At 39.6% G+C, this 15,591-nt stretch overlaps 1 protein-coding gene across 1 annotated transcript in view; it reads left to right on the forward strand.

The window, feature by feature from the left end:
* The window catches only part of HS6ST3 (heparan sulfate 6-O-sulfotransferase 3), a 749,456-nt gene extending 742,148 nt beyond the window's left edge, over positions 1 to 7,308 (forward strand). The window contains exon 2 of the mRNA NM_153456.4: positions 236 to 7,308. Coding sequence (NP_703157.2) covers positions 236 to 944 — 709 coding nt within the window. The 3' untranslated portion in view covers positions 945 to 7,308. The remainder of the gene's footprint in view (positions 1 to 235) is intronic.
* Positions 7,309 to 15,591: the final 8,283 nt, after the last annotated feature.

A 15,591-nucleotide genomic window follows, 5' to 3' on the forward strand; every position in this document is an offset into this window, starting at 1 on the left:
TTCCCCACACTGGAGCAAGGAGGAAAAGCCCAACAAACTCAGTATTGAAAATTGGTACATACGTCTTTATGGAAACATATGCACATGCATCAATAGACACAAATGCAGGCGAATACTCTCACATGAACATTTGGCAAAGAGTCCCTTGACTCAATGCCGATGTAAAATTATAAAAATTTAGATACCTCCTGTTAGAGTTGTCAACTACTGATGCTCTTCCTCTAATTTCTTCTAGGAATTTCTATTACATCACAATGTTACGGGATCCAGTGTCACGTTACCTGAGCGAGTGGAAACATGTCCAGAGAGGGGCCACTTGGAAAACCTCTCTTCATATGTGTGATGGAAGAAGCCCCACCCCAGATGAGCTGCCTACCTGCTACCCTGGGGATGACTGGTCTGGGGTCAGCTTGCGGGAGTTTATGGATTGCACCTACAACCTGGCTAACAATCGCCAGGTGCGCATGCTGGCTGACCTCAGCCTGGTGGGCTGCTATAACTTGACTTTCATGAACGAGAGTGAAAGAAACACCATCCTGTTGCAGAGTGCAAAGAACAACCTGAAGAACATGGCCTTCTTTGGGCTCACTGAGTTCCAGAGGAAGACACAGTTTCTCTTTGAGAGAACATTCAACCTCAAGTTCATCTCCCCCTTCACACAGTTCAACATCACGCGGGCTTCTAACGTGGAGATCAACGAGGGTGCCCGCCAACGCATTGAGGATCTAAACTTCCTGGACATGCAGCTTTACGAGTATGCAAAAGATCTCTTCCAGCAGCGCTACCACCACACCAAGCAGCTAGAGCACCAGAGGGACCGCCAGAAGCGGCGGGAGGAGCGGAGGCTGCAGCGAGAGCACAGGGACCACCAGTGGCCCAAAGAAGATGGGGCTGCAGAAGGGACTGTCACCGAGGACTACAACAGCCAGGTGGTGAGATGGTGACCTCCTGCCCTCTCCTCTCTCAGGAGGGGGAGGGTGAGCAGGCACATTGACTTTCTGTTGAGGTACCTTGGAGAAGCTGAGCCATTCTGAGGACATCTGGCTGTGTGTGCTTGATTTGGACATCTTCTTCCTTCTTTGTCTTCATTTTTATCCAGCTGGAGATTATCCGTCTTGTTCTTTTTTTTCTTGACATTTTGCAATTGGTGATATTAAGTAGGGTAGGAGTGCATCCCATATAGGCCATTTTAGAAGGCCAAGGAGAGCCACACCGAAAAAGGAGACAGTTCCTGTGATCTCCTTTGCAGGAGCATAGAATAGTTTGGGTACCAGGAACCCACAGAGGCACACATGAAAAGCCAAATTATGGCTTGGATGTTCTGCTGAAACTGGTCTATGTCATACTGTCTCCTGTTATGAGAATATCAGTTGGTATAAAGAGAGAGAAAGAGAAAAACATTTCAGCCCTTAGATGAGGTCTTACACCAACCCCCACTTGGCTGTTGGCTGTCATCTTGAACTCTATTTGAATGTGACTTAAATCACAAGTAACGTGTTTTGTTGTTGCAGTTGTTTTGAAACAAAATTATCCTATTATTGACCATTGCTAGAGACCCACATCCTACAAAATCCTGACACCATAACCTTAAGCCATGCCTTTCCTTCCATCTTTTAGGGAACGGGGAGTGGATCCAGGACAGGGGAGGTTGTAACCCCTGAGAAATGAACATTGGTAGGAGCATTTAAGAGAAAACTTGCTTATTTGCTAATGCCTAAAGGGGTCTCACTTTACCAATTGTTACTTTCAATGTGAGGAATGAATGATAAATTAAGAGAAAAAAATATCAGGAAGGTCAATATATGCCTAACATTTCTAAACTGGCCACATAACCTTAGATTTTTAAAGGAATATTTCAGAGTTTAATCTTTTTGGAGAAGTTATGTTCTTTAATCGGGTACTACCAGTCTTGAAATTTTGCCACCACAGAAAGAAAGATGTTTTTAAAAGCTTGGCCCAAAGAATAGGAACTTAGCTAGCATGTATACAAAATATATTTGAGGTTACTAAATGAATAAAAACTCGGAATTAGGCCAGGAGACATGGAATACCATTCATGGGATGGTTATCACAGGAGTTTAGAAAGACTCTGCCTCCCAGCATCTTGAATATCTCCAGCCTGTTCACTGTTTTCTTCCTACATGATCTTTACCTGTTGTTAGACTGTGGCCACAGCCAGTAAATCAGGCCAGAGTGTCTCAAACTGGACAAGAAATGTGCTGCATTGCCGAGTTCTTATTTTCACCTTTTCATAATCCCAACTACAATAACAAGAATTTTATTGACTAATAAGGGAATATGTATGGAAGAAGGAAGAGAAAGCCTTTGTCTAGCATTTATTAGGAGGATCAGAGTGAGTGGGAAGTTTCACAACGGATTGATCTGATCAATCCCTTCAAGGAGCTGAAGGCAAAATGTGTAAAACCCCTAAATCAGATTGAAAAGCCTATTTCATTGATATCCAACATGTTTGATGTTTAAGCTAGCTTTACCTAAGCCACTTCTCAGCCTCCAGAATACTCTCTCTGGGGTTGTGAGTCAGTCAGCCCACAAGCATTCACAGAGTGCTTACCTGCCCCGAGGGAAGTCCAGCAGCTCCACCAGATAGAGATCTGGAGATGCTTCTCTCACTGTGCTTGGCTTCATCTGGGGTGCAAGGGAAGGCATTATCGGGTGGCTCCCTTGCTCCAGGAACTGAACGAGGCCCTTTTCATACCTTAAATATATTCTGCACAACAAATGGGTATTGTTAGTCTCCATTTCATAGATGAAAATAGTGAAGCCCACAGAAAATAAGTAGCTCCTCCACAGGTTGTAAGCTAGGTCTAGCTGACTGCAAAGGTCAAGTTCTCTTTACTCCGTCACCATATCCATATGGAATAAGGGCTCGTCCTACCTAAAGCTTCCTGCCAATAATGCAAGAAGCCAGCTGCAATTTCCCAGAAGCATTTGTCTCTAACCCATGTGGGTAGCCCGACCATGACAGCACCACGCTAACAGTGACCCAGAGCCATACTGCCTTGGGTCAGTCCAGCCCCCTCCACATCACTGAGCCATCAATGAGCTGAGAGATCAATGACTTTTTAGGCAGCTGTGTTTTTTAAGCCATATACAAGAGTAAGTTAAAAGGGGCCAAGTAAATGTTGCTTGTTATTTGGTAGAGATTAGGCTCACAAAATATTTCTCCATTTCCAGTGATTTGTTCCTAAGGTAGAAGGGAAGGAGGATTGCAGCTGGGATTAATGTTCGTCTCTCTCTCTCTCTCTCTCTAGCTTCTCATCTCATTGTTAGGATCTAATGTTCTGCCTAGAATAGCAGGACTGCAAATTATCCTTCTGCCTGCCCCTGTGACACACACACACACACACACACACACACACAAACAATCCAGTGTTTTGTCATGTGGAAAATCAAAACAAGTTAGAAAGCATTCAGATTGTTTCTTTTAAACTCACTTTAAAATTTTGGCAAGGAATTCATGCATAACTGAGACTTGGAGGCAGCCCCTGCTCACTTCACGCTGTTCCTTAGGCACCTCGGGATTGGTATCAAAGGCTTCCACTGCCTTCTGCTGAAGGCATGATGTATGCGGCTCCACTTGAGACCAGGTATCAGGATGTTCAGAGGGAGCCAGCTCTTTATGTTGGCCCCAGGCCAGTACTAAGCAAATTAAAAAGACCGACATGGGCTTCCTCCCTCATATCATTTCATTCTAAAGCAGCAAGCTTGTCATACCCATGGGGTCCTATGTTGATAGAAATGGAGAGGTAGGGATACAGTTTATTCTCCAAAAATGGACTGCCCACTTCCATGCTGAGTGATGCTCAGGGAAGTGATGCCCGCAGAAGGCGTCTGGGCCTAAGGATCCATGGAAGTCAGGAGCATTAAATCCCAAACCAAATCAACTCCAGATATATCAGTGTCAAAAGCCCAAGAAAAGACAAAAAAGAAAAAAACAATCCCCAGGGGTTCTATGACCCTATTGACTCCTACAGTTCTTTCCCTTCTCTTGGCAATGGAAGCTCCAGTACCCAGATTGGAGATTAGGATGAGACAACTTTGTGTATATGTGCACGTGTGTGGTGTGTGTGTGTTTTATTAAGGACTAAGATACACACTTATCTATTCTGTCTCCTTCTAGCTTTTAGGCAGCCTACTCTTGGAAACTGGAGGAAACTGCCCTGAGAATTATTAGAATGCTAATAATAGTAATTGGTAACATTAACAATCAGTGTTAGACAACAGTGAGGCATATCATGTGTTTTTATTAAAAATGATAAAGATGTGTTTCTTCTCATCTAAAGGAGGTAACTTTGTGATAATTAGTTTGATTAAAAGTTTGAAGTATGAGGACTCCTTGTTATGCCTTTAAGGTAATTTTTAAAAAAAATCTGAGTAGAGATAGTACTAATATTGGCAAGAAGGTCCCCAGGATAGACCTAGCAAGGAGATAAGAATAGATCATTAAAAAATAAATATAAATGGATTGGATAGAATTCCCATTCAGCTGTTTTAACACAGAAATTCAAAATAGTGACTTAACATGGAAGCTATTTCTCTCTTACTTAAAGGCAAACTGGTTTTACAGCTCTGGTGTGTGATGTTACCAGACGCCTAGGCCCTCTCCTGTTGCTCTGTCATCCTAATGTGCTGCATCCACCTCATGGACCAAGATGGCTGCCACAGCTCCTGCCATCACATTTACATTTAAGATAGTAGAGAGGAAGTGGAGGGAAGTTGCACATATTGCTTCCAGTCACATCTCATGGGTTAAAACCTAGACATTTGCCACATCTAGCTGCAAAGAAGGCTAGGGAATGTCTTTATTATTGATTGTCATGTGCCTTGATAAGCATAGGAGGTTCTGTTATTAAAGAAACAATGTGAAATAATGTGGAAATTAATACTGATAAAGACTATCAGTATCTGATACAAAAGGGAACCAAACGATATTTAAGTGCTTTTTAATGTCACTTACTTCATCATATGTTTTGCGAAAGATAAGACTAAAATTCATCACTTTGTGTAGCATTTAATGGTTTTCAGAACATTTTTGCATGTGCTGTCTCATTTGGTCCTCATTACATTCTTGTGTGCTAAATAGGACCTCTATTCATTACACCACTTGCTAGTTTGGGATGGAGAGTCAGATATGTTGAAAGATTTCCCAACGACTCTAATTTATGAGCAAGAAAGTTGCTTAGAGCCCCAGCCTTTTGACTTCATAGTCTTTCCGACTACTTTATGCAGCTCAGCATCAGTACTGGGATTGGGAACTGCAAGAATATGAAATGTAAATCTTTATTGATTTATATCCTTCCTTACCTTTTTTGACATGGAAAATGCCAAAGACACTGGTCAAGTTTACTCTCAGCTCCCTACCTCCAGTGAGGGGGCCTCTTATTAGGAATGAAATATCCAAGAGATGGGCGGTGCTGCAGGGGAGACCAAAACTCAGAGGAGGCATTCAAACACTTCTAGCAGGTTGTCTACTCCATCCAACTCAAAACCTATTCAATATGAAGGCCGAGGGAATGTGCTCACAACTCCCTATTAAGGGAAATCAATATAAACCCGCCCCCACCAACCAAAAAAAAAAAAAGAAAGAAAACTCTCCCTTTTTAATGTCTTCTTCCCCAGGCTCCTGGTACTTTGTCAGCAACATACTGCTTTCATTCTTAAAGGTTTCATTGGCTGTTAAATGAGTCCCTTTGCATACTCACTGGAGAGAGGAAATGCTTTAAGTTGTCCTAAGATAACATCTGCACACAGAGAGTTTATCTGATTCCTTATCAACCATGATCTCTATCTGAGGTCCTGTATAGTGGGATCATTTAGAGATGGGGGTTAGGGAGAGTAGGAGTAACTCTAGAGAAAATTGTGGCTCCTAAAGGAGGCAGATCTTTCCAAGGTGGAAAGGTAATGAATTAAATATATGACATGTAATACTGAAAAAATAGAAAAATGACTAAGATACAGTCTCTGTCCTCTAGAACTAGGGCAGCCTGGAAACATATGGACTATAATTATTTTAGCTATTTAAAAGAAATGAATGAAGAGGATCTTGAGACAGGACCAGAGCATTGGAATGGTTGTAGGGACTGAAAGCTGAGTTGGAAGGATCAGATCAAAGAGAAAGCTGGGTTGGACTTACACAAGAATACCCTGATCTGATCGCAGCTGTGACTCCAAGGTTTTCCTTTCCCATAGTTGCTGTGACCCCATTGGTCACCAGAGCAACTGCATGTCTTCAGGCTGGGTATTAGGGCTGGCTGGGTCTGATGATTCTACCCATTTTGTGCCATCTGAGGAGCATGCGAGGGTTCTTTCTCCAAGGCACTTTCGGCCTTCCTTCTTCTCCCCTTCCGCCATCTCCACTGGACATAAGCCAATGCCTGCTCTCTTCTCACCACATTCACCTGGACAAATCTGAACTAATTCCTTGAGACTTCAAATTAGCCCTTCTGAGCAAGTGGGCAGGTTCTGAAACCTGTGTGTTTTGTAGCCTAATGAATTGATGGAATGCACATGAACCCATCTTCACAGCATGTGAAAGAACCAACCTGCCTGGCAGAGGTGCAGAAATTTCCAGAGGACTGGCCTAGCTATAAACACCAGCAACATCTGCAACACAAAAGCCCTTGAACTTCTAGGCAAGGACTCATGCTAACCTAGCAGTACTCCAGATTGAGAACGCAGATGGACAGGTGTCTCTTGAGCCTGTGTTCCAAGATGTCTGTGGAAAGGATTGCAACTGTCATCCTTTGGCACACTCAGTGGAACCTGTGTGAGCTACATGTTCTGCTGCATTATGGGAACTCATCAAAGGGCCAGATTGACATCTTGCCAGAAAAACCAGTGTTTTGAGGAGCAAAAGTTTTGTGTACTTCAGTAATTGTCACATGTGTCTTCCACCTCCTTGACATTTATTTGTTAATCATATGATCATTTTTTTTTCACTTTCCTTTTTTTCTTTCTCAGAAGTACTTCTGGGGCTTTGATTGCATTATTTCTCTTTTAATGTATCATTTCAGTGTTGGAAAGAAAAATCTGGATCTTTATGTGGGGACCTATTTTACATGTAGATAGTTATTCAGTAGATAGTAAATTATTTCTCTTAAGAGATATTTCCTTTTATTTCTGTACAATAATATGTATGAACTCAGTTACTAGGGGACTGTATTGTGACATTATCAACCTTTATTGCTATTTAAAAATGATAGTTTGTAGAACTGAAGATTTCCATTGATGTGAAGCACAATTTAATGAATAAGTTAAAATATTAAACTGTTGTGATGTCAAGAGCAATTGTCTTCCCCTGTGTTTTTGTCAGAGACATTTTTGCAAAATGAGCAAAGTCACTAAAACACTTTAAGGGATTTATGGAAATGGAATCCGTAGGATCAGCTTTGTCAAACTCAGGAAATCCATGCTTTGGATGCAAATGTGGTTTTTGGATGTGAAACATGAAAAGCCATAAAAGACAAAGAAAATATGGATTGAAACAATGTAGAGCCTCTGAGGCCAGAGAGGATTTTATAAACTCTCAGAAACATAAGCTTCTAAAACCATGGTTCTCAGTAACTCTTCCCCTCGCTGCCCACACCAGCGCATTGAAATCCACTGTGAAATGTGAAAAAGCCTCCTGGAGATGAAGGGATGAGGTACAGATTTGAGAAACCGTAGTGGGAGAGAAACAGGGATTGGAGCAAAGGATCTGGGAATTCAGTCTAAAAGAAAGAAAGAGACAAAGAAGGAAAGGAGGGAAGGGGGAAGGGGAAGAGAAAAAACAGCAGAAGAAAATCACAAGCACTAACATGGGCCTCTCTCCACAGTGTTAAAGTGTATTTCTCCAACGTGAGATTTTATTTTTAAATAACCAGTTCCTGTAATATAAGCAAAGGAGAAATTTCTAGTATAGGAAAAAGCTCTTTCATTCAAAAATTTCTTGAACAATGCAATTTACTTGATATGGTTTGGCTGTGTCCCCACCCAAATCTCATCTTGAATTGCAGTTTCCATAATCCCCACGTGTTGTGGGAGAGACCAGGTGGAGATAATTGAACTATGGGGGCCGTTTTCCCCATCCTGTTCTCGTAATAGTGAGTTAGTTCTCATGAGATCTGATGGTTTTATAAGGGGCTTTTCCCCAGCTTCATTCTGCACTTCTCCTTGCTGCCACCATATGAAGAAAGACGTGTTTGCTTCCCCTTCCGCTGAACTGTGAGTCAATTAAACCTCTTTCCTTCATAAATTACCCATTCTTGGGTATGTCTTTAGTAGCAGCATGAGAATAGAATAATACATTATTTTTTTTGTTCTGTAGAAGTGGGAATTGTGGATTCCTTTCTTGCTTATGGGTGAGATTTGTAACCTTAGAAAAATCTGACCATGTCCCTCTATCTAATGGGAATCATAGGCAAGGGAACTTGGCTTTAGAACAACCGAAGTAGCCACAGGAAAAGCTCCAAAAGACAGTGAAAGTCAAACACACACAAACATGGCATGCATGTGCACGCACAGGCACACACACACATGCATGCACACACACGGCACAAATACACATGCACACACACACACGTGCACACACAGAGTGAAAGAGGGGGCTTTTGTCTTGCAAGAAAAACCTCAGATAAGAGAAGGACCTAGGAATCCTAAGGTTCACTTCTTTTCCCATTCACCTTGGAAATAGTGTTGAAAATAAGATTGAAAAAATGTTGTAAATATTATTAAAAATCTACTCTCCGTGTAATATGGTTTTACTTTCACAGATCAGTTTTCATATAAAATATAAATTTGCAAATTAATGGAGTATAAAATAATCCAACCTATATTTTTATTTCATATAACGTTAATTTTTTATGATTGTAAAGTAATACATCATCTTAGATAACATGGAAAATACTAGTTTAAAATCCATACATTATAGAGCCAGACTCCGAGATTATTTTGATCAATCTCTTTCCGTACTTTTTATGCATTAGCAATTATGATACAATTTTAAATAACCAATATTTTTAGGAAATTGGAATCATGCAATCTATGCAGTAGAAATACATATATTAACATCTGAATAACTATTCTTTTAAAATGCAATTTTAATAGCCACATGTAATTTTGGATTCCCATATCTTTGGTCATTTTGGTCATTTTCAATTTTTCCACTAATATAAATAACACTGAAATTAATATATTTGTACCTAAGCAGCAACTATGTAGAAGGCTCTGTAAGCCTGTTTGAGATAGGACAGTGGACCACTTTGTTGTATCATCCCAAAAATCTGGAAAGAAAAAAATATTCAAGATTGTCAAAATTGCCTAGAAGCAGCTAAATGAATTGTCAACAAAAAATTTCATCTACGTAATCAAGGAAAATTATATGTATCTCTCTAGAACCACTCCACCTGGCCTAGGACTGAAGTGTTCATTCTTCAAGATGTTGGGAGTGTTGGCTGCTGACCGACAGCTCTCAGCTGAGTCTCTCTCAAGGACTTGCCCTTAGTTAGAGAGAGACACTTCTACCAATGTCATGCCATCTTTGGGACCATCTAATGATATTGCTGTGGAGATGAAGGCCAGGGCTTTTAACTAGAGACGACTCTGAAAGATCATCTTAGCTCCAAAGCTCCCTGTAGGATCAGCTGAGGACTTTGTTTCAAAGCACCTCAGTTCACCATTTCCCTCTGCCCACTCTGGTTCCTTTGCTCCCCACAATGTGTTCCCAATCAACTTTCCACACAGACATCTCCATCACAGACTGTGCTTTCCAGGACACTAGACCATGAACTTGCCAAAGAACCCCAGGTTCTCATCTCCATAGCCTTCTGCCTGAGCTACTTCCGTGTCTGAGTACCTGGAGTTTTGCCCTCCTCTCTTTTGAGCTCAGCTGTTTTTTAACCTATTTTGGCTTATTTTTTCCAGTATTTCTACCTGTTTAAAACTGAAAGAGGGATCTGTGTTAGCTCAGTTGCTCAACTTAATGGAATCAGTCTGCTCTTAAATTTAAAATTTTCCTTTAAGTCCGTGTTTCTATTTTTTTTTTTTTTTTTCATTTTTTAGCTCTTCATCACATCCTTTCCATTTTGAGGCTCTAGATTTTCCTGATTAACTTTCATTGTTTTCTACTTTGGGGAACTTTTCTCTGTGTTTGCTCATCTCTTCCATAAACCTTCCTGTTCACATTCATTCCCTTTAGTAGTATTTTTGTTTCCTATTTGTGCCTATAATTTACTTTACCTCTTTTATTGGTCTAATTTTTATCTTTTTTAAAAAGACAATCAATTTAGTCTCTCTCTTAATGCCTATCTTTCATTTTTATTCATCGTTTATACTCACTTCTCCATCAAAGTTTATTTTAATTTCTCATTGCTGTTTGTAGCTGTTCCTTTCGTTTTTTGAAACAAACTTGTTTATTTCTATTATTTTTAACTAATAGGTAATGCTCAGATAATTTCACCTACAAAATTTTTACTTTTTGAACTACATTGAGGTTCCTTTGGGGTTTTGTATGTGTTCTATTTTTTTTTTTTTTTTTTGAGACGGAGTCTCACTCTGTCACCGAGGCTAGTGTGATCTCAGCTCACTGAAAGCTCCGCTCCCGGGTTCACACCATTCTCCTGCGTCAGCCTTCCAAGTAGCTGGGACTACAGACACCTGCCACCGAGCCTGGCTAATTTTTTGTGTTTTTAGTAGAGACGGGGTTTCACCGTGGTCTCGATCTCCTGACCTCGTGATCCACCCGCCTTGGCCTCCCAAAGTGCTGGGATTACAGGCATGAGCCACTGCACCCGGCCGTATGTGATCGATTCCTATAAAAATTTCATGGATACCTAAAATGAATATGTATTGTCTTTTCAAATTATATCTATATATATACAGACATATATATAAAGTATATATGTAAGTATATATTATATATATAATAATTTGAATTATATATTCCTGTTTATATACACACATATATATGCATAAAATCATATTTAATTTATCAGAGACAGAATGTGTACAAAAATCTCCTTCTATAACTGTGTTTTTATCAATTCCTAACAGTTTTTAGCTTTTGGGGATTTGTTATTTAGTGTTCATGACTTTCATATCCTTCATTGATGAGGCTACCATTCTCAATAAAAATGACTTTTTTGGCCGGGCACGGTGGCTCACACCTGTAATCCCAGCACTTTGGGAGGCCAAGGCAATCGGATCACGAGGTCAGGAGATCGAGACCATCCTGGCCAACATGGTGAAACCCCATCTCTAGTAAAAATACAAAAATTAGCCGGGTGTGGTGGCTGGCGCCTGTAGTCCCAGCTACTCAGGAGACTGAGTCAGGAGAATCACTGGAACTCGGGAGGTGGAGGTTGCAGTGAGCCAAGATCACACCATAGTACTCCAGCCTGGTGACAGAACAAGACTCCATCTCAAAAAAAAAAAAAAAAAGAGAAAAGAAAAGAAAAAATGACCTTTTTGTATCATTTAATACATTTTGCTTTAAATCATTCTCTTGTTTTTGTATTATTTTAACATTTTGTCATTTATGGATCACGTGTAGTTTAACTTTTCTTCACATAATCTAAATCTTTTTATTTGAGAATTGTTATAATTTATAGATTACTGACTTCTGTTGTTTTCTTCTTTTATGATTTTTACTATTTATGCTTTTCTGTTTTATTTTCTCTTATGATAGGCTATCATTTATTTGAATCAATGTTAGAAATGCAACCACATTCATTTGACTTTCCTTTATGTAATTTGAAGATGTTCACATTTATATGCTTCCCTTTTCCTACTTCCAAGTATTTGTTTTAATTATCTGGATAAAAACTCTGGGTTAGAAATAAGACTGTAGATTCATACTGTTGTTGCTGCTATACTATTATTATAGTTAGTGTGGTAACTATATCAAAAGACGTGGGGAAATTATACAAAGAGAAAACTCTCACCCTGATCTGAAAATACTGAGTCACTTTCAAAGTCAAGCCCCACAGTTCTGGGTAATGCTTGCATGTATCTGATCAGTTAAATTATTCAAACAGTTGTTGCATGTGAAATAAGAAGGCATGAAGATAAGGAGGAAATTAGAATCTCACAAATTAGTGCTTAAAAGCCATGGGGACAGCTTGCTTTCACAATGTCATCAGTTCCTTGAATAATATGTTTGTTCAGAGATTAAAAAAACAAAGGAATGAAAATTTTATCAGGACTACAGAAATGCAACTGTTTTCAGGTTTAATTTATGACTAGCTAAGCCCATCATAACATACACAGTGGAGAGGAGGAAGGAAGTGACCTTCTGTAGTAGGGAGCATGATATTTTCTTAGCTTGATAATATAATTTTTAAATATTTCCATGTAAGAACACTGGCAATTTTAATATTACAGTAAGAGTTACTGAATAAATATAACACAAGGCATTTTTTTCTGGAAAGGAAAGACAGTGCCTTCACAAATCCATGGTGCTCATTTTATCTGGGGCACAGCCAGGTGCTAATGTTCTCCCCTGCTTGTCTCCATCCCTACAGGTGTTAGACTACAAGCAGTCATTAAATCCTTGCAAATTAGGGCATCACTCCCAGGAGCCCTGCCAGGAAGCCTGCCAGTTAAGGTATAAGCAGAAGCATATATATTACTGTTCTTCTAAGAAGCCACTGCTAATGGTTAGTATTCACTTGTGCAGCTGTGAGTCGCTGCCATGAATCTCCTGCCACTCCCATCCTGCTCTTCATGAGAAGGTAAAAGCAGAAGCACACACAATATGTTAGCCCAGTCGCCACGGATGAGCCATGATCTTCCACTAACAGCCTCATTTGCTCTGCTATCTAGGAGAGAAAGCCATCCCTAGATGAGATTCTCACATTTAGAAAAGTTACTCAATACATTCAGCATCGCACCATGAAGTTACACATCTTGGTGTTATTAATTACCAGTTTTACTAAAGGTCATAGCTTTCATTAATTTTCAACAGTCCCCAAACTCAGACTACCAAGGTTTATTCCCCCATAATGATCTCTATGACTTGATAGAGCATCAGTAGAGAATCTACAGTATCTTCACAACTTTCTAAATCTAGAACCCAGAATGATAATAATTTGAGTCTTTTCACTCTTTCTATCTTTTTATGATACCTTTTGCTTTCCATTCTAAAAATTTTCACTAAACATTTTCTATTAGCCAAACACAAAACTAGAGGCTAAATTAAAAGAATAGGGTTGTTTTGACCCAAACACTGTTTTTAGCATCTCTTTAGCACTCACAAACCAAGTGTCAGAACAATCTAGAAAAGATTATTCCTTGTCCCTCACAATAACCTTAGAGAAACTCTCCACCCTCAACCATCTGTACCTGCACACTCCACCTTTCTTGTCCCCTGTACACAACTTATTCTAAATCAGTATTTTACTCTGTGCCCAGATGCTCTCAGCCTAGACAGTCTTCCCTCGTCCTTGTGCCATAATCCACAATCACAGACCCAGCTCTACCTCACTGCATGCCTAGCTCAACATCCAGGCATCCAGCTCAGCACAAGCTTGGATTCCTGATATCCCATGATTAAAGGTCAGGGGCATCCTTGACTCTCTTTGATCCTGTACCCCAGACTTTAGATCCTTAAAGTCAGGGACACCTTTTGCCTGTTCACTATTGTTCAATAATTCTGAGCCTGGCACGTAGTAGGTACTCTCAGTACAGTATATCTACTATATCTACTATGGCATATATATATATATATATAAAAAATACATATTATATATATATAAAATACATATATATATATAAACTATATACATATTATATATTATATATATGTTGGAATTATCAGCATCATGATGTGATGCTGAACATATTGGACACCTTTTCTATATACATTGGATGAGTAAATTAGTAGGTAAAAGAATCAATGAGAGGATGAATCCAATATGTCTTCTTAGGCAAGCTAAGCAAATCCCATAGTGTCTTTAATGACCTATATTCTAATGAGTCCCAAATAGACAGTGTTCTCTAGGTCCCTAGTTTTAGTGAATTTCTGAACACTTGCACCTAAATGTCTTTCACCCACCCCTCCAATTCAACTTAACCAAAATGAAACTCATTATCTGCTCTTTTGCCATTGAAAGAAATCTATTCTTGCTTTTGTATTCCATTATAACTCCCAATTGAGTCATGACCTGTACAACTCATGGGGTCACACAAGGTAGAAGCCCTACTCACCCTAACTCCTCTTACCCATCTTCATAACACTGTCTCTAAAGTCTCTCTCCTACTCTCCATTCCCACAACCACCAATCCAGTTTAGAATTTTATCCTATCGCATCCTTTTTGCCAATAGGAGCTTTTAAGACTTATTTTAATCTTCACAGAAATACCAGAAGGCATTATCTTTCTTTCTAATTAGAAAATTGAGTATCAGAGAAAGTAAATAATAACCACCTAATGGTTCCTTAGTTGATAATATTGGAATTAGAATTTGAAGTCAGTTTTGCTTCAACCTAAAGCCCAAGTTCTACTAGGCAATGATTGTTCTTCAAGCCTCCAAAGCCTTTCCTCTCAGCTCAACTTACCGTTTCAAAGACCTGGTCATGTCACTTCCATGGCCAACCTTCTTAATGGTGACAGTTGACCTTATGATAAAGTAAATGCTCTGCAGCATGGCAATTAGGACCCATCGACCCATACCCTGCCCCCAAACCGTGTCATCAAGCTCTCTCTGAAATCTGACCTATGTTCTAGTTACACAGAATATTTGGAGAATTCCCCCAAATGTTCTAGGGAGAAAAATGTCTCAGGGGATCATTGGGTGAGTGAGGGTAGAGTTGATTAAGAAGATGAGGGAAGAAGAAAAAGGACAGCAGAGACCTGGACAACCCTCAGGGTGGTGGGCTTCTGATAGCTGAGTAGGCAACTGTGGTTCTACCTCCAGTGTAGAAGGAAGAGCAGAGAGGAGGAGGGGATATTGAGAGAGAATTCTTTGACGAGCTATACACTCTAGAATCATAATAGCTGAGAATAGTGCAATCTGACATTCAGATACCATTGCAATAATGAAGTCACACGCTATAGGCAGGAGACTATGTCTGTAAGGACATCTGTGACTCTTCTAATGAAAAGTTTTTGTGTGCCTGTTATAACAAGGAGGGACCCACTGGGGAAATTCTGTCCTAGTTCTACTGCATAGCTGTCTTTGGAAAGAGAACCTAAGTATGTATTGTCATCCCAAAAAAACAAAAAACAAAAAATTTCAGCCATCTGCCAAAATTACTGAGGTTAGTGACGAAGAAGAGATCTGATTATGTTTAGTATAATTTTAATATTTCTATTTTTATTTATTCGAGGACATGTAATCCTAACCTAACCTTTGGTAAACCAGATGATTTTAGTTTATATTTCCCACTGATAATACTATTCTTGATTCTTTTGCCTAGATAAGTGGGAGCTTATCATGAAGCAATGTATTTTAGTTTGAGTTTGGCCTTTTAGTTTCTTTTTCTACATTAGGACTCACTATCTTGTTAGCATGTGGTTCCTGGGCTGTCTATGGATTTCTTTGATGAAAACCTCAAGGTAAATTGGTTTGCTTTACCTCCTGAGATGGTAATTTAG

Source organism: Homo sapiens, chromosome 13, assembly GCF_000001405.40.
Source record: "Homo sapiens chromosome 13, GRCh38.p14 Primary Assembly".
Lineage (NCBI taxonomy): Eukaryota > Metazoa > Chordata > Mammalia > Primates > Hominidae > Homo > Homo sapiens.